General features: G+C 40.8%; 1 protein-coding gene across 8 annotated transcripts in view, besides 1 other annotated feature; it reads right to left on the reverse strand.

Moving 5' to 3' along the window:
- Positions 1–24,109, reverse strand: part of ZNF75D (zinc finger protein 75D) — a 95,521-nt gene that overhangs the window by 23,483 nt on the left and 47,929 nt on the right. For 2 of the 8 annotated variants that reach the window (XM_047442485.1, NM_007131.5), the window contains exons 2-7: positions 23,697–23,968; positions 21,659–22,187; positions 20,210–20,402; positions 19,401–19,492; positions 18,938–19,064; positions 13,720–15,775 (exon numbers count right to left, since the gene is read on the reverse strand). The exons of 1 other annotated variant lie outside the window; for it this stretch is intronic. In XM_047442485.1, coding sequence (XP_047298441.1) covers positions 15,066–15,775; positions 18,938–19,064; positions 19,401–19,492; positions 20,210–20,402; positions 21,659–22,069 — 1,533 coding nt within the window. In that variant the 5' untranslated portion in view covers positions 22,070–22,187; positions 23,697–23,968 and the 3' untranslated portion in view covers positions 13,720–15,065. Of the gene's footprint in view, positions 1–13,715; positions 15,776–18,937; positions 19,065–19,400; positions 19,557–20,209; positions 20,403–21,658; positions 22,188–23,696; positions 23,969–24,109 lie in introns of those variants that run through there. 5 more of the 8 variants (XM_047442487.1, NM_001185063.2, XM_011531397.4 and 2 more) reach the window with 5 other exon arrangements.
- Positions 1,070–1,612: an enhancer, noted in NCBI's record as "OCT4-NANOG hESC enhancer chrX:134407073-134407615 (GRCh37/hg19 assembly coordinates)". NCBI's record gives its function as "activates a minimal SCP1, AML or CMV promoter by ChIP-STARR-seq in primed H9 embryonic stem cells {active_cell/tissue: H9 hESC(primed)}" and the evidence as "EXISTENCE:reporter gene assay evidence [ECO:0000049][PMID:30033119]".

Below are 24,109 nucleotides of genomic sequence, written 5' to 3' on the forward strand. Positions count from 1 at the left end.
TTGTATAAAACTAAATCTGTACTTATGGCATCTGCATATCTCTTAAGAATTTCTCCTTTGCCCTCTTTCTCTTCTTACCAGCATGTAACTAGCCACATTCTGACCTGCTAACTGCATAGTGAGTGATTACTGGGTGTCTTAAGGGGCATTACTTCCTGCATAGGTATTACCCCTCTTCTCTGCTCATATCTAGCATGTCGGTTTCTGCTGGTCTCTGGGGTGTGAGATTTTCCAGATCTCCTTTTTATCTCAGGGTCTCCCCCTCCTGCTCATATCCAGCTATCTGCCTACTCTAACAGAGTCAGTAGAGGAGTTTCAAGGACAAGAATATTTAGCTTTCATAATTTCAACTGTATGCAACCATGTTTTTAGTGGGGGAAAACACTGTGTGTCGAAGTCATTTGAGTTTTATTAGTTGTGTTCTCATTACTTTCAAATATACAAAGCAGAGACTGAACAGTAACCCAGAACAGCATTTTAGGCTTATCTCAGTTGCGGGATGAAAATGCCTCAAGTGTAAATTAGATTTACTTAAAAATTAAAAGTGCAGAACACAATAAATTTGGGGAAAGAACTGCAGGTAAAGGTAGTAAAAGCACTAGAGAAGTGAGGCAGGAGAATAGAGTCTGGAGGAAGAGAACATAAGGCCAATTCACGCTGACTTCCTAGAACTACATCAAATGGAAACACTTCAGCTATGACAGGAAATATCCTCTCCATTTACATAGGGCGTACACCTAGTAAATGACTTTGTAACTTTACTTTATTCTCTTCATTTATGTAGGGTGTATACCAAGTAACCAATGGGAACCTCTAGAAGGTATTTAAACCCCAGAAAATGTTGTAATCTGGCTCTTGAGCCCCTATCCTCAGGCCCACTCCCACCCTGTGGAGTGTACTTTCATTTTCAATACATCTCTGCTTTTGATGCTTCATTCTTTCCTTGGTTTGTTTGTGTGTTCCGTCCAATTCTTCATTCAAGATGCCAAGAACCTGGACACCCTCCATTATAACATACTTTGGTGAGCCAGCCAGGAGGTAAGCCTAAAGTTTGGGATTTATTTTTCACCTTTTCCTTTCTGCTCCATACAGGGGAATATCTCCCTCTCTCTCTCTTTTCCTTTCCAACTCAGGACTCTTGATGGGCAGCGCCTAAACATGGAGGCAACTGCCGGGTTCTGGCTGGGGCCACTCTGAAGGAGTCTTTTCTATCTTTTTTGGTTGTGGTCTCTGATCCCTAATTGTGGAACAGCTCAGGGCAAACTCGCAGCTCAGGGCGAACTCACACATGTTTCAGGTAACCTAAACCTTCTTTTCTTATGCTAAATTCTTCCCTAATCCTACTTAACTGACTTAGGACAAAAGAAGCCCACCGAGCCTCCAGTTCCTATTATTACAGTTCATGGTTATCACTCTAGTGGAACAGAAAGCATGGGAAAGCATGGCCTTATCAAATCATAAGGATGCTAAAAGTCAGGGATTACACACAGGAACCAAAGGAAAGCTAATAGTAGGCCATTGCCTCTGGAGGGAAGACATGCAAAGCAGCACCAGTGCCCACCTAAGGTCAAAGAAGTCTGACACTCTAAGAGTGGACCCCAAAAAAGGAATGCCCCAGGGGATCTTCTGGACCTCAACCTCTCCAAGAGGGATCCCCTGGGCAAAGGCTCTGGGGCATAATACTAAGCCCTCCTTAGAATTTTCTCTTGCAGTTGCAATACTGTTTGGCCCCCATACTGTTTGGAATCTGGAGTTTGCTGTTGAATGGGAAAATGGAATGGAATTGCATGTATCCAGGCTTTGGTGCTGCTCTTCTAAACAGGGTCAGGCCTAATTAGTATGTGATGTTCTCCTTTGGTGCTGTTTGGTGCCAGTGTTCTTTGGAGTCTGAAGAAGGTTGGCCTTTAAAAATCAAACTGCCATGGAAACTGCTTTACCCAAAATTTTGGTTCACAGCCTTCATTGGATTACCTATTGAGGCAAACAAAGTAAAACCAGTGAGCTTGTATTGCTATCTCGTGGCTAGGGTTCCAAGGTAAAAGCTATTGAATCTTTCTTTGTGTGTGTATATGCATGCCTTGATATGTTTATTTGTATGTACACTTATAGCTATATGTTGTGTCCACCAAATTGTCTTGTAAGTAAAAGAGCACTCAGAAATTAAGTAACTAAGTCTACGCAATTTTCAAGTTCACATGACTTAAGTGTAACTTTACTAAACATGCTGGTTTTAAAATTATTGGTAAAATAAAAATGGAAATGCCTTCAGAATTGTCAGCATACATTTTTGTCTGGATTTTATATTTGTCTCTGCTAGATATTTTGAGGTGTCAGGGTTTGGCATAGAAGGTAATAAAACTATAAACCCAGCCAAAGCAAAATGTTCTTGGTTAGCATGCCTTTTTTTATGAAAAATGAGAGTAATTTAATGTTAGCTAAATCCTCTGAGTTATTGACAAAAATACCCATGTATTTAACTTTGAGGCTCTTACTTAGGTTTACATGAGCACCTAAATGATGCTCGCTGTTTATTAAAAGTATGGTTAACAAGGAAATAGCTAACTTTAAAAGATAGTGTCTAATATCTCAGTATACAGAAGTAATCTAGATAAACTGTTAAAAGTGAAAGAATTGTGTACAGTGAATGGGATAAATATTTTAGGCAAACGTGTAAATTAAAAACTTAAAATTATTTTTGATGCTCACTTAATATCTGGGTCATTTCCAATAAAGAAAGGGCTGTGATATGGTGAAATATGTTTCTAAAATCATGTATTGTTCTTATCTATAAATGCCCATATCTGACAGTTTGGGGTTTCTTGCTTTTTAGGGTTTCACTACAGTTTTAGGTTACCAAGGATAAGAACTCTAGGTAACACATAATTCTGCTTACAAAATGTGCCAGAAAGTGTTGTGCTAATAGTGAGAAAAAAGTAATTTTGTCTAATTCATAAGTTACCTAAAAGTTAGTTCAAATTACAGATTTGAAAAGGTTAGCCATGAAACAATGTAGTAAGGAACCAGTAAATAGGGGGAAAAGATGTAGAAAAAGTTAAGATAATAAAATATTCTTTAAAACCTGAAAGAGAATTGGCGAATTAACATTTTCATAGTTAAAGCTCTTAGTCTTGATTAATGCAAAATAAGTATTGTAAAGAAAGGCATCAGCAGTTTGGCAAATTTTTAAACTATAGTTAAGCATGAAGCTGGATTTAGTGTGGAGCCAAATTTATCACATGCATGCTTTCAATTGCTTCACACTATGTTTACTGTTTTGCATGTATAGTGCTGGCACTGGAGTACTTATTGGTTGTTTGCCTAGAGTAAATCTCTTGATTGCACAGGATGTATGATGATATTGGTGAACTTAAAGTTATTATTTTGTCTATCAGGAATAAAACATTCATTGTGTGGTTTTTTTGGGTCCCTGCATAAGACTGTAGCCTCCAAGGTAGATTGAGTAGAAAAAATTTAGGGCTGGTTTCCTGTTTATTTGTTTTTGTTTCTAATTTTTATTCATTTGCTGTTTATTTTCCTCTGGCGTTGCTTGTGTATGCACATATAAAACTATATATATATTTTACATATGTATATATAATATATTTATTAGTTTCTAGTGGAAGGCTTTCATTTGGTTCTGTGAATCGATATTTTGTTTCCTATGCATTTCTAGCAAGTCATCTTTTGTTCCATTTATCTGAAATTCCTAGGCTAACTTTGTTGGGACCACAGGAATTGATAGAACACACCAGCTTTTTAACCTTACACTAACTTTTGGGATTTTAGGCTTCCTGATACTTTAAATGTGTTGAGTATACTTTCGTAAACAGAATTTGAGTCATATTTCTCTCTCTGCCTGATTTCTCAAAAATTTGTAAGCTCTTTGAAAATATTCTTAATCCATGGCAATGGTTTGCATACAGTCAAGCAGGGTCACTAGGGCTGCTCAGGGAGAGGGAACCCAAAAATCTGGCAAGACAGCAAAAGGGTAAAAATTTCTTACCATTCAGACTCTGGCTTCTCTCTCTCTCTGTGCAAATTGGTTAAATGAATGGAATTACAAGACACATCCAATACCCAAAACAATCTTGAAAAAGAGGAACAATATTGGAGGACTCCCACTTCCTTATTTTGAAATTACTGCAAACCTATAATAATTAAAAACAGTGTTGTACTGGCATAAGGGTAGGCATATAGACAAATAGAACAAAATTGAGAGCCCAGAAATAAAATCATACTTTTTTTATATACCACATTTTCTTTATTCATCTACTCATGAACACTTAGGTTGATTTCATATCATGGCTATTGAGAATAGTGCAGCAGCAAATATAAGCTGCACTTCGACATATTGATTTCATTTCCTTTGAACAAATACCCAGTAGTGGGACTGTTGGATCATATGATTAGTTATATTTCTTTCTTTTTTAAATTATACTTTAAGTTCTGGGATACATGTGCACTATGTGCAGGTTTGTTACATAGGTATACACGTGCCATGGTGGTTGGCTGCACCCATCAACCCATCATCTACATTAGGTACTTCTCCTAATGCTATCCCTCCCCTAGGCCCCCACCCCCAGACAGGCCCCAGTGTGCGATGTTCCCCCCACTCCTATGTCCATGTATTCTCATTGTTCAACTCCCACTTATGAGTGAGAACATGCAGTGTTTGGTTTTCTGTTCCTGTGTTAGTTTGCTGAGAATGATGGTTTCCAGCTTCATCCATGTCTCTGCAAAGGACATGAACTCATCCTTTTTTATGACTGCATAGTATTCCGTGGTGTATATGTGTCACTTTTTCTTTATCCAGTCTAACAATGATAGCATTTGGGTTGGTTCCAAGTCTTTGCTATTGTGAACAGTGCTGCAATAAACATACTTGTGCATGTGTCTTTATAGTAGAATGATTTATAATCCTTCAGGTATATACCCAGTAATGCGATTGCTGGGTCAAATGGTATTTCTGGTTCTAGATCCTTGAGGAATCACCACACTGTCTTCCACAATGGTTGAACTAATTTACACTCCCACCAACAGTGTAAAAGCATTCCTATTTCTCCATATCCTCTCCAACATCTGTTGTTTCCTGTCTTTTTAATGGCTGCCATTCTAACTTGTGTGAGATATCTCATGGTGGTTTTGATTTGCATTTCTCTAATGACCAGTGATGATGAACTTTTTTTTAATAGTTTGTTGGCCGCATAAATGTCTTCTTTTGAGAAGTGTCTGTTCATATCCTTCACCCACTTTTTGATGAGGTTTTCTTTTTTTCTTGTAAATTTGTTTAAGTACATTGTAGATTCTGTATATTAGCCCCTTATCAGACGGATAGATTGTAAAAATTTTCTCCCATTCTATAGGATGCCGGTTCACTCTGATGATAGTTTCTTTTGCTGTGCAGAAGCTCTTTAGTTTAATTAGATCACATTTGTCAATTTTGGCTTTTGTTGCCATTGCTTTTGGCATTTTAGCCATGAAGTATTTGCCCATGCCTATGTCCTGAATCATATTGCCTAGGTTTTCCTCTGGGGTATTTATGGTTTTAGGTCTTACATTTAAGTCTTTAATCCATCTTGAGTTAATTTTTGTATAAGGTGTAAGGAAGGGATCCAGTTTCAGTTTTCTGCATGTGGCTAGCCAGTTTTCCCAACACCATTTATTAAATAAGGAATCCTTTCCCCATTGCTTGTTGTTGTCATGTTTGTCAATGATCAGATGGTTGTAGATGTGTGGTGTTATTTCTGAGGCCTCTGTTCTGTTACATTGGTCTATATATCTGTTTTGGTACCAGTACCATGCTGTTTTGGTTACTGTAGCCTTGTAGTATAGTTTGAAGTCATGTAGCATGATGCCTCCAGCTTTGTTCTTTTTGCTTAGGATTGTTTGGCTAAACGGGCTCTTTTTTTGGTTTCTTATAAAATTTAAAGTAGTTTTTTTTCTAATTCTGTGAAGAAAGTCAATGGTAGCTTGATGAGGATAGCACTGAATCTATAAATTACTTTGGGCAGTATGGCCATTTTCACAATATTGATTCTTCCTATCCATGAGCATGGAATGATTTTCCATTTGTTTGTGTCCTCTCTTATTTCCTTGACCAGTGGTTTCTAGTTCTCCTTGAAGAGGTCCTTCACATCCCTTGTAAGTTGGATTCCTAGGTATTTTATTCTCTTTGTAGCAATTGTGAATGGGAGTTCACTCGTGATTTGGCTCATCTGTCTATTATTGGTGTATAGGAATGCTTGTGATTTTTGCACATTGATTTTGTATCCTGAGACTTTGCTGAAGTTGCTTATCAGCTTAAGGAGATTTTGGGCTGAGAGGATGGGGTTTTTAAAATATACAATCATATCATCTGCAAACAGAGACAATTTGACTTCCTCTCTTTCTATTTGAATACCCTTTATTTCTTTCTCTTGCATGATTGCCGTGGCCAGAACTTCCAATACTATGTTGAATAGGAGTGGTGAGAGAGGGCATCCTTGTCTTTTGGTGGTTTTCAAAGGGAATGCTCCCAGCTTTTGCCCATTCAGTATGATATTGGCTGTGGGTTTGTCATAAATAGCCCTTATTATTTTGAGATATGTTCCATCAATACTTAAGTTTATTGAGACTTTTTAGCACAAAGGAGTGTTGAATTTTATTGAAGGCCTTTTCTGCATCTATTGAGATAATCATGTGGTTTTTGTCATTTGTACTGTTTAAGTGATGGATTATGTTTATTGGTTTGCATATGTTGAACCAGCCTTGCATCCCAGGGATGAAGCTGACTTGAAGGTGGTGGATAAGCTTTTTGATGTGCTGCTGGATTCGGTTTGCCAGTATTTTATTGAGGATTTTTTCATTGATGTTTATCAGGGATATTGGCCTGAAATTTTCTTTTGTGTGTGTGTGTGTCTCAGGTTTTGGTATCAGGATGATGCTGACCTCATAAAATGAGTTAGGGAGGAGTCCCTCTTTTTCTATTGTTTGGAATAGTTTCAGAAGGAAGGGTACCAGCTCTTATTTGTACCTCTGGTAGAATTCGGCTGTGAATCTGTCTGGTCCTGGGCTTTTTTGGTTGGTAGGCTATTAATTACTGCCTAAATTTCAGAACTTGTTATTGGTCTATTCAGGGATTCGACTTCTGCCTTGTGTAGTCTTGGGAGGGTGTATGTGTCCAGCAATTTATCCATTTCTTCTAGATTTTGTTGTTTATTTCCATAGAGGTATTTATAGTATTCTCTGATGGTAGTTTGTATTTCTGTGGGATCAGTGGTGATATCCCCTTTATCATTTTTTATTGTGTCTATTTGATTTTTCTCTCTTCTTCTTTATCAGTCTGGCTAGCAGTCTATCTATTTTGTTAATCTTTTCAAAAAAACAGCTCCTGGATTCATTGATTTTTTGAAGGGTTTTTCATGTCTCTATCTCCTTCAGTTTGGCTCTGATCTTAGTTATTTCTTGTCTTCTGCTAGCTGTTGAATTTGTTTGCTCTTGCTTCTCTAGTTCTTTTAATTGTGATGTTAGGGTGTCAATTTTTGATCTTTCCTGCTTTCTCCTGTGGGTATTTAGTGCTATAAATTTCCCTCTAAACACTGCTTTAGCTGTGTCCCAGAGATTCTGGTACATTGTATCTTTGTTCTCATTGGTTTCAAAGAACTTATTTATTTCTACCTTAATTTTGTTATTTACTCACTAGTCATTCAGGAGCAGGTTGTTCAATTTCCATGTAGTTGTGAGGTTTTGAGTGAGTTTCTTAATCCTGAGTTCTAATTTGATTGCACTGTGGTCTGAGAGACTGTTATGATTTCCATTATTTCGCGTTTACTGAGGAGTATTTTACTTCCAATTGTGTCGTCAATTTTAGAATAAGTGGGATGTGGTGTTGAGAAGAATGTATATTCTGTTTATTTGAGGTGGAGAGTTCTGTAGATGTCTATTAGGTCTGCTTGGTCCAGAGCTGAGTTCAAGTCCTGAATATGCTTGTTAATTTTCTGTCTTGGTGATCTGTCTAATATTGACAGTGGGGTGTTAAAGTCTCCCAATATTATTGTGTGGGAGTCTACATCTCTTTGTAAGTCTCTAAGAACTTGCTTTATGAATCTGGGTCCTCCTGTATTGGGTGCATATATGTTTAGGATAGTTATCTCTTCTTGTTGCATTGATCCCTTTACCATCATGTAACGCCCTTCTTTGTCTTTTTTGATCTTTCTTGGTTTAAAGTCTGTTTTATCAGAGACTAGGATTGCAACCCTTTCTGTTTGTTTGTTTGTTTCCATTTACTTGGTAAATATTTCTCCATCCCTTTATCTTGAGCCTATGTGTGTCTTTGCACGTGAGATGGGTCTCCTGAATACAGTACAGTGATGGATCTTGACTCTTTATCCAATTTGCCACTCTCTGTCTTTTAATTGGGACATTTAGCCCATTTACATTTAAGGTTAATATTTTTATGTGTGAATTTGATCCTGTCATTATGATGCCAGCTGGTTATTTTGCCCATTACTTGATGCAGTTTCTTCATAGTGTCGATGGTCTTTACAATTTTGTATGTTTTTGCAGTGGCTGGTACCGGTTTTTCCTTTCCATATTTAATGCTTCCTTCAGGAACTCTTGTGAGGTAGGCCTGGTGGTGACAAAATCTCTCAGCATTTGCTTGTCTGTAAAGGATTTTATTTCTCCTTTGCTTATTAAGCTTAGTTTGTCTGGATATGAACTTCTGGGTTGAAAATTCTTTCCTTTAAGAATGTTGAATATTGGCCCCCACTCTCTTCTGGCTTGTAGGGTTTCTGCCAAGAGATCCGCTGTTAGTCTGATGGGCTTCCCTTTGTGGGTAGTCCGACCTTTCTCTCTGGCTGCCCTTAACATTTTTTCCTTCATTTCAACTTTGGTGAATCTGACAATTATGTGTCTTTGGGTTGCTCTTCTCATGGAATATCTTTGTGGTTTTCTCTGTATTTCCTGAATTTGAATGTTGGCCTGTCTTGCAAGGTTGGGGAAGTTCTCCTGGATAATATCCTGAAGAGTGTTTTCCAACTTGGTTCCATTCTCCTTGTCACTTTCAGGTACACCAGTGAAATGTAGGTTTGGTCTTTTCACATAGTCCCATATTTCTTGGAGGCTTTGTTCCTTTTCATTCTTTTTTCTCTAATCTTGTCTTCATGCTTTATTTCATTAAAATGATCTTCAATCTCTGATATCCTTTCTTCTGCTTGATCGATTTAGCTATTGATACTTGTGTATGCTTCATGAAGTTCTCGTGCTGTGTTTTTCAGCTCCTTCAGGTCATTTGTGTTCTGCTCTAAACTGATTATTCTAGTTTGCAATTTCTCTCACCTTTTTTCAACGTTCTTAGCTTCCTTGCATTGGGTTAGAACATGCTCCTTTAGCTCAGAGGAGTTTGTTGTTACCCACCTTCTGAAGCCTACTGCTGTCAATTTGTCAAACTCATTCTCCGTCCAGTTTTGTTCTCTTGCTGGCGAGGAGTTGTGGTCCTTTTGAGGAAAAGAGGCATTACGGTTTTTGGAATTTTCAGCCTTTTTGTGCTGTTTTTTCCTCATCTTCATGGATTTATCTACCTTTGGTCTTTGATGTTGGTGATCTTCAGATGGGGTTTTTGTGTGGACGTCCTTTTTGTTGATGTTGATACTATTCCTTTCTGTTTGTTAGTTTTCCTTCTAACAGTCAGGCCCTTCTGCTTCAGGTCTGCTGGAGTTTGCTGGAGGTCCAATCCAGACCCTGTTTGCCTGTGTATCACCAGCAGAGGCTGCAGAACAGCAAAGACTGCTGCCTCTTCCTTCCTCTAGAAGCTTTGTCCCAGAGGGGCACCTGCCAGATGCCAGCTGGAGCTCTCCTTTATGAGGTGTCTGTTGACCCCTGCTGGGAGATGTCTCCCAGTCATGAGGCATGGGGATCAGGGACCCACTTGAGGAGGCAGTCTGTCCCTTAGCAGGGCTCGAGCACTGTGCTGTGAGATCCGTTGCTCTCTTCAGAGACTGTAGGCAGGAACGCTTAAGGCTGCTGAAGCTGTGCCCACAGCCACCTCTTCCCCCAGGTGCTCTGTCCCAGGGAGTTGGGAGTTTTATCTATAAGCCCCTGACTGGGGCTGCTGCCTTTCTTTCAGAGATGCCCTGCCCAGAGAGGAGGAATCTAGAGAGGCAGTTTGGCTAGCGTAGCTTTGTTGAGCTGTGGTGGGCTCTGCCGAGTTTGAACTTCCTGGTGGCTTTGTTTATACTGTGAGGAGAAAACCACCTACTCAAGCCTCAGTAATGGTGGATGCCCCTCCCCCCATCAAGCTCGAGCGTACCAGGTCGACTTCAGACTGCTGTGCTGGCAGCGAGAATTTCAAACCCGTGGATCTTAGCTTGCTGGGCTCCGTGGGGTTGGATCCAATGAGCTAGTCCACTTGGCTCCCTGGCTTCAGCCCCCTTTCCAGGGAGTGAAAAGTTCTGTCTTGCTGGTTCTCCAGGTGCCACTGGGTTATGACAAAAACTCCTGCAGCTAGCTCAGTGTCTGCCCAAATAGCTGCCCAGTTTTGTGGTTGAAACCCAGGGCCCTGGTGGCATAGGCACCTGAGGGAATCCCCTGGTCTGTGGGTTGTGAATACCATGGGAAAAGTGTAGTATCTGGGCTGGAATGCACCATCCCTCAGGGCACAGTCCCTCAGGGCTTCCCGTGGCTAGGGGAGGGAGTTCTCCCAACCCCTTGTACTTCCCGGGTAAGGTGAACCCCACCTTGCTTCTGCTCACCCTCCATGAGCTGCACCCACTGTCTAACCAGTCCCAATGAGATGAGCTGGGTACCTCAGTTGGAAATGCAGAAATCACCCACCTTCTGCATTGATCTCACTGGAAGCTGCAGACCAGAGCTGTTCCTATTTGGCCATCTTACCAGCCACCAAAATCATACATTTATGGTCAACTAATCATCCCAAGTCTCACACTGAGATACACAGAGCCTAAAGAGGGACAAGGGAAATCTTTCTTGGCATTGCATAGGTCCTCCTCCCTACTTCCTCCCTAACTCCCAGCCCTGGAGCAGAACTGCTTCTCAAAGCTGACCTGGCCTCCTTCCCTCTCTTCTTTCCCTGGGTTGTCCAGATCTAAGAGTGATATTATCCCTCTACTGCTCTCAAACATGGCTCCTGACCTCTCCCTTTATATCTCATGATTGATGGTCCTTGAGAGTTTCCCTGGCTTCCTGTCCCTTCTTCTCTACCAGTGTCTCATGCATGAACCCACAATGGTAGGAAGGATCAGGGAGCATGGAGGGAGAAGAGGAAGGCAAAGAAAACAAGAATGAGAATGGGAGGGCTTTGCTGTTGAGCTAAGAACAGAAGTTTGTAGGTAGCCCCCTCCTTTAAATGAGGAACAGCTTCCTCCCCAACATGGTCATCACCATGCCCACCTACCTGCCATTTAGTGTTTTTCAAGGATTAAAGGGGAAGTAGCAAGGAGAGCCTTTAAATTACTTGACAGAAGACTAGGCCATGATTCCGTTTTGTTTATTCTTCTCTCCCCAACTCTGCCTTTCCACTCTCAGTTATTGTGCCCATTCCTCTGGGAATAGTGGAACACAATAACACTCACTACACCCTGTCTTTGGGCCCCTCCTCCTCTCCTTCCCTGAAAGAATGGAAGTGGCAAAGTGGCAGGAGCAGGATTGGCCTGTGGCAGACAGAACAAGGCAATAAAGGAGGAAGAGGTTTCTTGGGAGTGGAGAAGGAGCTAGAAGGAACCCAAAAAGGCCCATGGGTAGAAACCATGTCATTGTTTGCTGGGAGGGAAAAGGTGGAGACCTGAGTCTGGCACAGGGTAGGCTTGACCCACTCACATGCTCTTGTGTCTCATCCACAGCAAGCAATGGCATTCGGCTCCCTGAGTCCCTGACTTCCAATCTCAGTCCTCACAAATGCACACAAGTGGAAAAAGCCTGCTAAACTCTGCTCTCCTAGACCCTTTCTTATCTTTCTCTGCTCAGCTCATCTTCTCTGGGAGCACAGAGACTGGAAAACGAGTTCATACCCCCTCACACTTGGTTCAGTTCTTCAGTTCCATCTCTGTCTGTGGGATCAAGAATTGGAGCATTCTGCCTCTTCACTCTGTCCCATGAATGAATAATCTGTCCATTTCTCCAGTTCCTGAGCTTTTGTATGCTGCCTTTCTCTTGTGTCCTCAGAAAGGCAATGGAGCTCATGTCTATTAGCCATGTACTGAGAAGGTGGTGGGCAGTTATGCAATAGAATGACATCTCTTCCCTTTATCTCATTCTGCCATTTATTTCCTTACTTCCCATATCTCCATGGACATACATTTCTCCTCTTTTTCTGAGTTGGCAAGGGATGACATGAGTAGTCAGGATGCACGGGGAATGTGGCCCTAGGAGACTGTGTCAGAGGGCTGAAGGGCAGACTGGGCACTAATGAGTCAGCCAGGAGCACTGATTTCTAGATCCTGTTCCACAACCTCAGGGATGAGAATGTGCTTTTTCCTGGGGCCCTTGTATTCAAATGATGGTGGAGTATCTGAACTTGGAATAACAAATCCCAGTTCTCTGTTTCTGCTCAGACCCATCTAAAGGCAGTCACTTCCTGCCACTTGCCTTAAATAATTGATCTCTCAAATAGAACCCATGTTCCCTGCTCTCAAACCCTGCTGATAATGATGCCAGTGTAGATGAGGACCTGCACGATAAGCTTTGAAGGTAACAGGTATTATAACAGGGGTAAGCAGCTTTAGGAAAGTGGAGTGCTCTTTTGCTGACTTGTTCTGGGGGACTTTGCTGATTCTCATGAGTATAACTGCTGGGTCCATTGACCTAGTACATCCTTGAATTTTTTAGTTAACCTCCCTTCTTTATAAAAGCTACATGAATAAATTTATTTGAATGGTGGTATGATAGCAGCTATCCAGGATGCTAGCAAACATGGATTCACACAAAGAGAATGGAGTCCCCTGCAGGAATTTGAATTTCCCATTTTAGTTTCAAGGGCACAATCTCAGATCATTCTAGGAGGAGGGGTGGTGAGGCAGTCATAGTCTCCAAGCCTTTGGGAATATGAGATCCTTTCCTCCCAGGTCACTTCCTCCTTTTGGCTTAGCACTTTCATTCTTTTTAGTCGCCATTATGTGCAGTCACCTCTTTCCTCTTTCATTTCTACTTTATTGGCTTGAGGATGCACCTAGTAGCATAAATACTGTCCACAAAAATTCCACCCCTAGCCATCACCTCCCCTCCATTTTCAGGAATCTCAAGTTGAGGGTTTGTAGTATATTTTGGTTTTGTTACTCATGAGCAGTATAGCTAGCTGAATTGGGACATCAGTGTATTGTTTCAGGCTGACTAGAGAGGAGCACCTCTAGAACCAAATGAATGTCATGCCAGAAGGCTACCATTCTGACCATCATTAGTGGGCCTAAAAACCAGCTAGAAATGATGGAAAACTCATTAATGAAGAATGCTTAAAAGCTGGGCAAGTAGACAAAGCTTATTTTCTTTTCTAAATAACTAGGTGAAGGAAGAATGAAGAAAGTTCCAAATGTTTAGGAAACACCAAATGTGGCCAATCATTGTGTCAGACATGCTCACATGTGTGCATTTAATCCTCACAGTAGCCCTAAGAAGTAGGAATTATAATCCTCATTTTATAAATTTGGAAACAGGCTTAGAACGGTCTCTTGGTGGAAAAAATATCTGAAGACATCCATTTCAAAAAAGCAAACATTGGCCATTTCTGAGTGATTTGGTAACAAAGTTTTGTTTATTGTCTAAATTTAAGATAAAATGTGTCATTTTCATTACGAAGTACAATTTTATGGAATACTAAATAAACATATATAAATAAGCCTTGGCCAACATTATAAACCAGGATCTGACATAGATATAAATCCATGCCTTCCAACTTCCCTTGACGTCACATTATCTTCTCTTAAGAGATAGTCACTTTGGCTAATAGGGAAAAGAAAACCAGTAACATCAGAAAACAATTTCCATCTGGCCTGGCTCTGACTGGCATCATCACTGTGAGCCATATGCCTTACTTTTCTCTGACACTTCAGGATGTTCCCTCCTGGTATCAGCTGTGCACCAAAGCTAAAAGTTCACAAGGCTCTCCTTGCCATTCTCAATAAATCAGTTTTGCAAAATCTCCAGGCCTTCTTGCAGAGTATTCAGGCATATAGGGTTGTAGTTGATCAGCCATAAAGATGGGGCTCCCTTTAGGTCCTGCAGCAGTATGGCACCAGTTTGAAAGCCTCCATCCAGTCCACATAATGAAAGTCAGAAAAAGACCATTTACCACTTATCTGTGCTTTCTACAAAAAAAAACCAGATACCTGGATGAGGGCCAAGACTGCCTCCCTCATCATTTCACTATATGTCTATGTTGACAAAGTCAGCAAGAGGAGAGATATCAAGTGCTTGCAAGGTCCCTAGGCCTGTCCTTACATTCAGACCTTCCCTTGCTACTTGTAATTCCTTGACAGAAGACATTGTGGTAGTGGGTACTCAGGAGAGAAGCAACAAGAATGGGACAATTCTCCCAGGGCAAACACTGAATCCTCTCTTTCTGTTACAGAGTAAAGTTCCCTGAGTCCTGGTCTTGATTGTTCATGTAGACAGAATGATAACTATTGAAACTGTCCCTAATTTAGTAATTCTCTCTGAGCTCCCTTAAGAGGGCCCAAGTACTCTTATTTTCCATTTCTCTTGACAAAGAGTAAAAAATGAGACTAAGAGCCTTGACTATCATATGTCTGTTGAGCACTTGATACCTGAAAAATTTAGATGACTGGGGGTGGGGAAGCTTTGAATAACCAGATATATACATATAGATAGATAGCTAAAGGAATCTCATCACTACACTTTCATTTTTTTATTTATAAAGTACTCCTTATGTATCAACTCTTGTGCTAGGCACAGAAGATGCAATGCTGAATAAAACAGACAGCTTAGATTCCTTTTTGTGAAGTGTAACATGTACCCTTCCCAAATGTTTTATTAATCACAGATTCCTATCATTGGGTGCCTCATAATTTTGTATTCTTTCACCACTTCTAAAGTCAAGCTCTACATGGTAACTTTCCTCAGTTTGGAGACACTAGACATGCTTCCCTTCTTCTGTGGAGTTTCTGGTGTCTAAGAAGGCTCGATCGCCTACTAAAGTTTCTCTTGCATAAGCTACACGTATAAGGCTGCTCACCTGTGTGAGTTCTCTGGTGTTTAATAAGGTGGGAGTTCTGAATGAATCTTTTTCCACATTCATCACATTTAAAGGGCTTCTCTCCTGTGTGAATTCTTTGGTGTGTGTGTAGATTTGTGTTATGACTAAAGCTTTTCCCACACCATGAGCATCTATATGGTTTTATTCCTTGATGGGTCATGAAGTGCTTATTAAGATCTGAACTCCATCTAAACCTCCTGTCACATTGTTGACATTTATAGGGTTTCTCTCCAGTGTGAATTCTGTGGTGTTTAATAAGATCAGAGCTAACTCTGAAGCTTTTCCCACATTCCTGACACTTAAAAGGTTTCTCCCCTGTGGGGCCTTTCCCATGAAGATCCATAAGTTTTGGAAGCTCTTGTTTACAAGTTGCAGGTTTCTTTCTTTTCTTCCTTGGAAAAGCTCGATGCCATTTCTGTACACTGTGTGTATCACCAGGATTTTCCCTGCCCATTGTTTTCTGGGCAATTTTCATTCTGGTCTTTTTTGATACTTCGCATCCTGATGTTTGTATTTCTGATGTAGAAACAGATATAGGATGATCATTTCCAGTGTCATTTTTTAGCTTTAACCCTGTTAGAATAAACAGAATAATCAGCCATCTGTGTCCCAGTGAAAGAAAGCTACATAAATGGAGAGAAAAGTCAATGATGATTGCTTTAAAAGAAATACAGGAACAAGTGATTTCTGGTCCAGTCTGGACAAAATGGCATAGACCCATTTCTCCTTGATCCTCCCTGATAGGCACAAAAACAAACCCATTAAGTGATATGAGATAACAAAAAGAAAATTCTAAAAATGGTAAGAAAAAGACAAACTGGTTTAGGACCCCAGAAAAAAAAAATAACATAGCAGGGTGGCTTATATCCCCACACCCAACAGAAGAAGGCAACTATCAACAGAAGGCTGCCTGGGTAGGCTTATTGTTTCCTGAATGTAAAAAGAAGTGCAAATAAAGACTTGTTGATTGAACTCTGGATAAAATAGAATATGTGACTAGCGCCAATGTGCAGTTGGTCTTGGGCAAACATACATGATTCTATAACTTTAGCACTGGAGCTGCTGGAAAGGTAAAAGCTAAATGGAGTTTCTGCTCTTTTTTACATTTTCCATGAACTAATGACAACTTCAGAAGACTAGTAGGATTGTGTACTTTGTAACTCAGAAGGCTGCATTTTTGAGCATTAACTTGCAGCATATTTCACTATATTTGTTATTTTCTATTTATTACAACTGGACAGCTCCAAACTCTTATACTATTTAGTATCTTGTAGCTAGGTAATAGTTCACTTTTTGCTTAATTTCTGCAAGCCAATAAAAGGAAATGTATTTAAGTATCGAGATGTTCAAAGGAAAGAGTAAAAAGTATTCATGGGGAAAAAGCTCTGTTTAACACAAGTCTTATTGTATTGCATTATTAGCTGATTTCACTCACTTTATATTTGCAAAATAATTGACATTTCTAATATTTACTGAAATTGCTTAATTTGCACACCCTGTACTCTACACACAAAAATGTATCAAATATAAGAATGAAGTTAAAATTGTGACTCTGATTCACTGTAGCAGCACTTTAAATTGCCCAGCTTTTTGAAGATATAAGCTACGATATTTGTACTTCCCTATGTCTGTGCCATAAATGCTTGAAAACGTTAAGGTTTTCTGTTTTGTTTTGTTTTTTATATATATCAAAATAATCAGTGTAAACCTTGGTTGGTCCCTGAGTTCACTGATATTTGAGGTAATGGGGACCTGCAGACATTCTGACTAGATTTACTACCATGTGCCTTTGCCTACTTCTCTTTGATATAGCAAAATATTTAATTGAGAAATCACTTTATGTTACCATGGTGGATTTTCACCGTGCTATAGCCGTTTTCCTTTGGATTCCCATCAGTGGTGCTGCTCAGTGGCTTGCATATAGACTTGCTATGAAGAAATGCAGAGGCAGCCCATGCTGCCCTATTTCAAAGTTGAACTCTTTAAGCCCTTGGGAGTGGGCTTCACCCGCTATTGCAGAGGCATTTTGCATTTGTTTGTGGCAAGAAATTCACCTTCTCAGGCCAGGCGTGGTGGCTCATGCCTGTAATCTCAGCACTTTGGGAGGCCAAGGCAGGGGATCACTTGAAGTCAGGAGTTTGAGACCAGCCTAGCCAACATGGTGAAACCATGTCTCCAACAAAAATACAAAAATTAGCCAGACATGGTGCCACACACCTGTAGTCCCAGCTACTCGGGATGCTGAGGCAGGAAAATTGCTTGAGCCTGGGAGGTGAAGGTTGCAGTGAGCCAAGATTGCACCACTGCACTCCAGCCTGGGTGACAGAGTGAGACTCTGACACACACACACACAGACACACACACACACACACACACACACACACACACACACACACACAGAAATTCACCTTCTCAAACCAGTAAAATACAGACTTAATTTGTAAGGACTGGAGCTACACATTAATATGTATCACCTTAGAGCAAGAGCTATGTTCTAGGAACCACATCACAATTTTCAGTCATGGAACAATATATCCCATGGCAGAAGACCTTTACGTGTGATCTGCTCTATTTTCATGTGATAATTTAAACTTTGATTGCCTAGTAGTCCTTTAAGTTAACATTTCTGCTTACTGCTACTGGATTTTTGTTGCAAAAATATATCAATGACCCACATGAAACATACTAAGTGAATCATGATAAACAAAAGGGAAAAAATGATTAAGAGAAAATTAAGTGACTGTGTTACACCGCTTATCCCAAACCAGAGAATAAGCCATTTCAAGCAACATCTTTGAAGAGTCGTGTGGTGTGAATTGGTTTGTATATGTTAGTATGTATTTATTCAAACATTCATATACACTCAAGATACAGTTGGCCTAATTATAAATGGGGGCATTGGTAAAACTTATGAAGTGTCCTCATACTGAATTGTAATTTTCTCTTACCTGTGAAGTAAAATTTAGATCAATCCCATGTCTTTGTTAAATATATTTTTTTACCATTCCTAAATTTAGGGTTTATTTCCAACTAGATCAAAATAAATGTAAGTTGTGGAACTCATTTTGAATATGATGGATATGCTCTACATTTAAATTTCAAGAGGCAATAATACTATTGGAATTATGTGAATTCTAACTCATTTTAACAAGGCAACCTGACCTGCATAGGATCACTTGAATGTTATCTTTCTTAGGATTACGCTAATATTCTTCTCACAAAAGATCTATAAAATATTGTAGTTGGAAAAAAATTGTATAAAAATGTTTGGAAATTAGAAACTTTTCCTTAACTTTTATTGATATTGACTTGAATTATTATTTTCTAAACTAAGAGCCATATGCCTACCTGTAAATCTTTCCACATATCATTTAAACTTTTGTTTGCATTGTTATTGTTGTTGATTTACAGATTAGTTATTAATTTTTCTGTGGAATAATGCCATTGATGTGCATGCTTTTATGTTTTTTAGAGAAGGGTGTGTTTGGATGAAAGATAAAAAAAGTAAAATCTTTCACAGTCAAAATAATTCCATTTAGAATGCAGAAGTGAGACAGGTATTTACAAAAAGCTCTCCAGGGGATCCTGATAATCCCTTTATTTCCCATACATCATCAAGTTGAGAATCAATCAGCTGTTGGAACAGTGGGACTCTCTCACAGGGGTGCATTTTCCATAAACAGAGGACATAATATATTACTTAACTTCTACACAATGGGAAGGAAGAATCTTTACCTAGAGAGATGACAGTCTCATAGATATCCTGCATTACATCATTGTAGAGAGTCTTCTCAAGAGGATTCAATAATTGCCACTCTTCCTCAGAAAAATACACAGCCACATCTTCAAATGTCAACAAACTCTAAAGAAGAGAATGGGCTATAGTTTAGTACTTGCCACTTCAGAAGCTGTCCTACCACCCATTTCTGAATTACATGGTAGGCCAGGTGCTGAAGATGTGAACAGTACAAGATTTAGGGGAAAAAAGTGAGAAGGCAGAAAGGAAGGAGCAAAGAGGATCAGTAAATCACCTGGGAGGTGCCCAGTTCCCACTGTGCCAAGCCTAGTTGCCTAGAGAATAACTGGGGCTAAAATGCCTCAAAGCACCTGCTGGACACTATGAGTCCTAGGCAATAGGGACAAGCAGAGGCAAGGCCACAGTCAAGTCACCTGAAAAAAGCCAGAAATAACAGCTCACCAGGGACTCAGGCAGGATGAGTTTAGATGCCATCTTCCAGTGTTTGATTCTTTTCTGCTCAGAAAGGGCTAACATCTGTTGATCATGCACAGCTGTGGGTAGAAAATAGCCAGGGAAAATTTCTGTTTCCTATTTACAAACATCCCAAGCTGATTTCTAAAATAAAGAACATCAGGATGCCTTCAGTAAAGATGGGTCACATTGACAAGTGTGTGTGTGGTGCCAAGAAGTGGCCATCTCATTGTAAATAAGAACCAAATATCTACCACTCATACAACCAGTTCCCCAGTTCATGAACTCTTTAGATTTCATAAAAGAAATTAATCAAAGGAAATCTATTCATTTTTCCTCTCATACCATAAGCTGGGCAAGAATTGAAGGTTTGGAAATGAAAGGCTCAGGTCCTCCAGTGTACAGTAGGTAATGTGGGAGACTTTTGTCTTTTATTACTTTTTCCTAGTGCACAATTTTTATCACATTCTGCCACTGATAGCCCATGTCTGTCCCCAATTTTTCCTACAACTTATGAGAGGGAGGTGGCCCCACCTGTCCCTGTTCCATCTTCTTCTCTCCTCTCAAGTTTCAAAGGAGTAGAGTCTATAGTGTGAATAGCAGGGTTCTGTGGTTTGGATATTTCTGTCCCCCAGGCTGACCCCCACCTTCAACCACCATCAACCCACTGTACTCCCACCTGGGAGACATCATAGCTGCTAGCATGGCTGGCCACCTGGAAAATTCCCAGGACATTCTAGGTGAACTAATTACTACCACAGCTCCCAGGAGAAGACAATTATGATGAAGCTCCTCACCTCTTTCATATACAGGCTGGGTTTCTTTGTGAGTGTTCCAGCCCAGCTGTTCTTGTAGTACCCGGTATGTATTCCAATATTCTTTCTGGAACACACCCATTGGTTGGGGCTCTGCTGGCTTCCACTTGAAGCCTGGGGCCACTGCTGTTCCTCCCAAGAGCACTGCCTCCTTTCCCAGCTCATGGGCTGTGACCTAGAAATAATCCCCATCCTCATTAGCACAGAACTTACTTTTGGTTTTGGGGTGGTAGTGGAGGGAGGAACAAGAGCAGAGCCCAGATTTGGGGAATGCATGACATTAGAGAAGTAATAAAAAGAATGAAGAGGTATTGTGCCACTATGTTCTCATAAAGAACTATACTCAAAATCTGGGATAATTAGGATAAAATAGAAAAAGCTGTGACTACTGCAGATCCCCGCCCCCCAACCCAGTGGCCCCCACCCAGATGCACAGAGCCCTGGCTCAAGCCACTAGCAGAGTTGGGTAGGCAGCCTGTTCCCCTGCTGGGGAACTTTCACTGGTTTACTTTCTTGACTTGGATCCTTGTTTTAGTGAATTTTTATCTTTTGGTTTTCTGTAAAAGAAAAGGAATTGAGTGAAATAAACTTTCCTGTTAGCCAGTTTCCAATCCTCCAGGAAAGAATTTCACAGGGAATGGAGATGGATGGAAGAATAAATGGGGAGAAGAGTTGGGCTCTAATCTCTCTTCACATGATTTGGTAGTAATAAGACACCAAAAATATGGCCTGCCCTGGATTTTTCAAGGTAGGCTCCTGAAAAAAGAAAGTGTGCTGCCATCTTCCAAGGACAAACCTTGGTTTCCCACTCACCAGAAGGGCCAATGACAAGCCACTAAGTGAGGGCAATGGAGGCTCTTTCCTCCCAGCCCAGAGATGTGTGTTTCTGCTATAGAAGATACTACCCCTTAGCATCCTGATTCCCTCCACTTCTCTGTTGGCAATTGTCGTCTTTCCATATCCTTGTTTCCTTTTTTTCTTTCCATTTTGTTCTCTTTCTTTGCAGTCTCCCCAGAGCCGCTTGATTCATACTTCTGTTTGCTAACCTCTCTCTCCTTTGGTCTCTGTAAGTGCTGCCCATCTTGTGGATCTTCTCCCCTTTCCCAACTCTTTCTTGCCCTTTATTTCTCTTTTTCTAAGAACTCAACTCTTGTCCTTGCCCATGCCAGACTAGGCCCACCACCATCAATTCACCCTGGCCCTAGAGAAGACAAAATGCATTTATTTTCTCTAAGACAAGGAAAGGCTCTGCCAGAAATCTTGAAACCTGTGGACTATTGATGCATGTATGTCATTTCAGATCCTTGCTAGCTGTCCTAAAGGAGCAACAGAAGAGCGACTTAATCTGTCTAATTCTCTGATAACTCCTCCATTCTGATATATCCACTTTTATCCTACTTCATTGTACATGTAGGCAATCTTTCTTCTTACCTCATTCTTTGTTCCATCAGGCTCCCTCTGCAAGAATTCCACCAGGACCAGAGCCTGTTTGACATTCTGTGGATGATGCTTCTGCACCCAGTTCTGGGTCTCCTTGGGCAGAATGCTCAGGAACTGCTCTAACACCAGCATTTCCAAGATCTGCTCTTTTGAGTGGATCTCTGGCCTCAGCCACTGATGGCACAATTTCTGAAGTTGGCTGATAGTCTCAAGCGGTCCGGTTGCTTCATGATAACGGAAGCTCCAGAAGTGCCTGCAAGCGCTCTCAGGACCAAGATTCTCTATTTTTGTGCTGTATTTCTTACTCTGACTGGAGTTCTCTTTCACAGACCCACTAGTCTCCCACATAGCCCCCATCTGGGGGCTTGAGCATGAATCCGCGTTCAGCTCTCTCATCGCCATTTGCTCTAGGAACAGTTTTACTCTTGTATGTGACACTGACACCCACCTGGTACCACCTTTGACAAATCAGGGTGCATCAGGTTGGTACCAAATCAATGAATTGTTCTTCCCAAGAGCACTGAGGGAGAGCAGAAGAAAAGTACATGTCAAGAAGAAAATCACATGACACATATTTACTTGCTATTTATTGTTAGAGGAAAATGAAGAGAAAAGTTCCTGTCTGGCTTCTTCTTTAAAATCAACTGCCAAGAATTAGAACATTCATGATTAGATTACTCAGGAGGTAAGTTTCTCTCCTTTTCTTTGTTTTTCAACTTTGAAACAAAGCACAGCTAAGAGAAGACAAATGTCAATCAATGTATTTCCTGTTTTTTTTTTTAACAGTTGAGGAAAGATTGGTGGGTGAGAAAACTGGCACCAATTGGCCAAAAGGAGCTTTGAGATTATCCAATACTTAATCTGTGGGTTTCCTGTCCTATATTGGCAAATAGGGCCTATTTGAGTTTCTCGAAACTTTAACAGATCATCCCAATCATTTTTCTTTAGTCAGAGGAAAAACAGTTTCTATATCCCTTCATCTCATTTAGATTGAAGCCTTTTACTAAATGGAACTCTTAATATTCCCTTTTATACTGTATCAATGCTGGTAGGAGAACTGAGACAGCAAGATCAGAGTAGAAGTAAAGTAATTAGAGAAAAAGTAAGCAAATGCCCTCCCGCTAAGCAAGCAGATCATCAACATTTGATGTGGCAGGGTGTAGTACTTCTTCGAAAGACTTATAAAGGGCACTGCACAGGTTTGTACTTGCGTATTAAATTTTTTGTTTACTTTAACTGGAAAAATTTACAGATGGTCTTCCTTTACATATATACAAATGTCAGGTGGTTAAAAACAAAAAAGAAAGAGAGATGGTGATGATTAAGGTTCTTTATAGATGGGAAGGGTCTTAGTAATGGTAACCTTTCTCCTGACTTAACATGTCCTCAAAACTGATTTTCCCTGAGGTGATCCAGCAGAAACAGTAACAAAATTCTTTCAAGGATGCCACAGGTATTCAAAAAAATGGTTGGCTCCTTGCTGACCATTCAGGCTCAGGAGGTACAGGAACACTTCTTACATTTTTTTGTCAGCAGAAGCCATTGTCTTTAATGTTGAAATGACCCTTTCTTTGGTGTTATGTTCATAAGCCATCAAAAATCAGGAAGTTTCGCTGAGTGTGGTGGTAGACATTACTGCCCCAAATCCCCATCCCTGATTCACTACAACTTATAGATCAACCACAGGGATGCCCACAAGAACTCTGAACGTGGGCAACCTTTGAGTGTGCTTCACTAGTATCCCTGGGTTATATTTGTACATCCGGTAGAAAGAAGTTGCTTCCATAGGTAAGAAGTGGCTGTAGGAGCCTGCGGCCAGGCGGCCTCGCTGTGGACAACTCCCACCAGCTCTCCAGGCGACCTGCCGCCTGTCAGTGGCGCCACTGCCCACTGAAAAATACTGTATCACATCCCCCACCCTCATTCCCTGCTACGCAGCAGCCCCAAAGGCTGCAACTGGCAGGAGCGGCCGGTATTTCTCAGGGGATCGCTAAAACGAATCTAAAGAGAAAATCAGCTTCTCGGTTACCTTCAGTCAGCTCTGGCTTCCCCGGAGGCCACTTTCCTCTTCCTCGGCTCGACTACGCCTCTGCCTCTGTGGCCACGCCTCCCTGCTGCTCTGGGTAGCAAAGCTCTCCGCTGCTGCACCACTAGGGGAAGCGACGTCAGGAAAGCGCGGGATGCCTGGCGAGTGAAGCTCCAAGATGTGGGGAGTCTTGGAATATCAGTTCCCTCATTCGATCCCTCCACCTCCCGAAGACCTGACCCCGACTCTCTCTTCCAGGGTCGAGTTCTGTGGACCTGAACCGGAATCAACCAGAAAATGAAAGATGCATTTCCGGTGGCTTTGTGACAGCTACGCCCAGCTATCCCCCTCCCTCTACCTGCGAAGTCTCAGCCTAGCCAAGTTAGGAACTGTCCCGGGGGTCCTTTCCATCCCAG

This window comes from Homo sapiens, chromosome X (genome assembly GCF_000001405.40).
Source record: "Homo sapiens chromosome X, GRCh38.p14 Primary Assembly".
Lineage (NCBI taxonomy): Eukaryota > Metazoa > Chordata > Mammalia > Primates > Hominidae > Homo > Homo sapiens.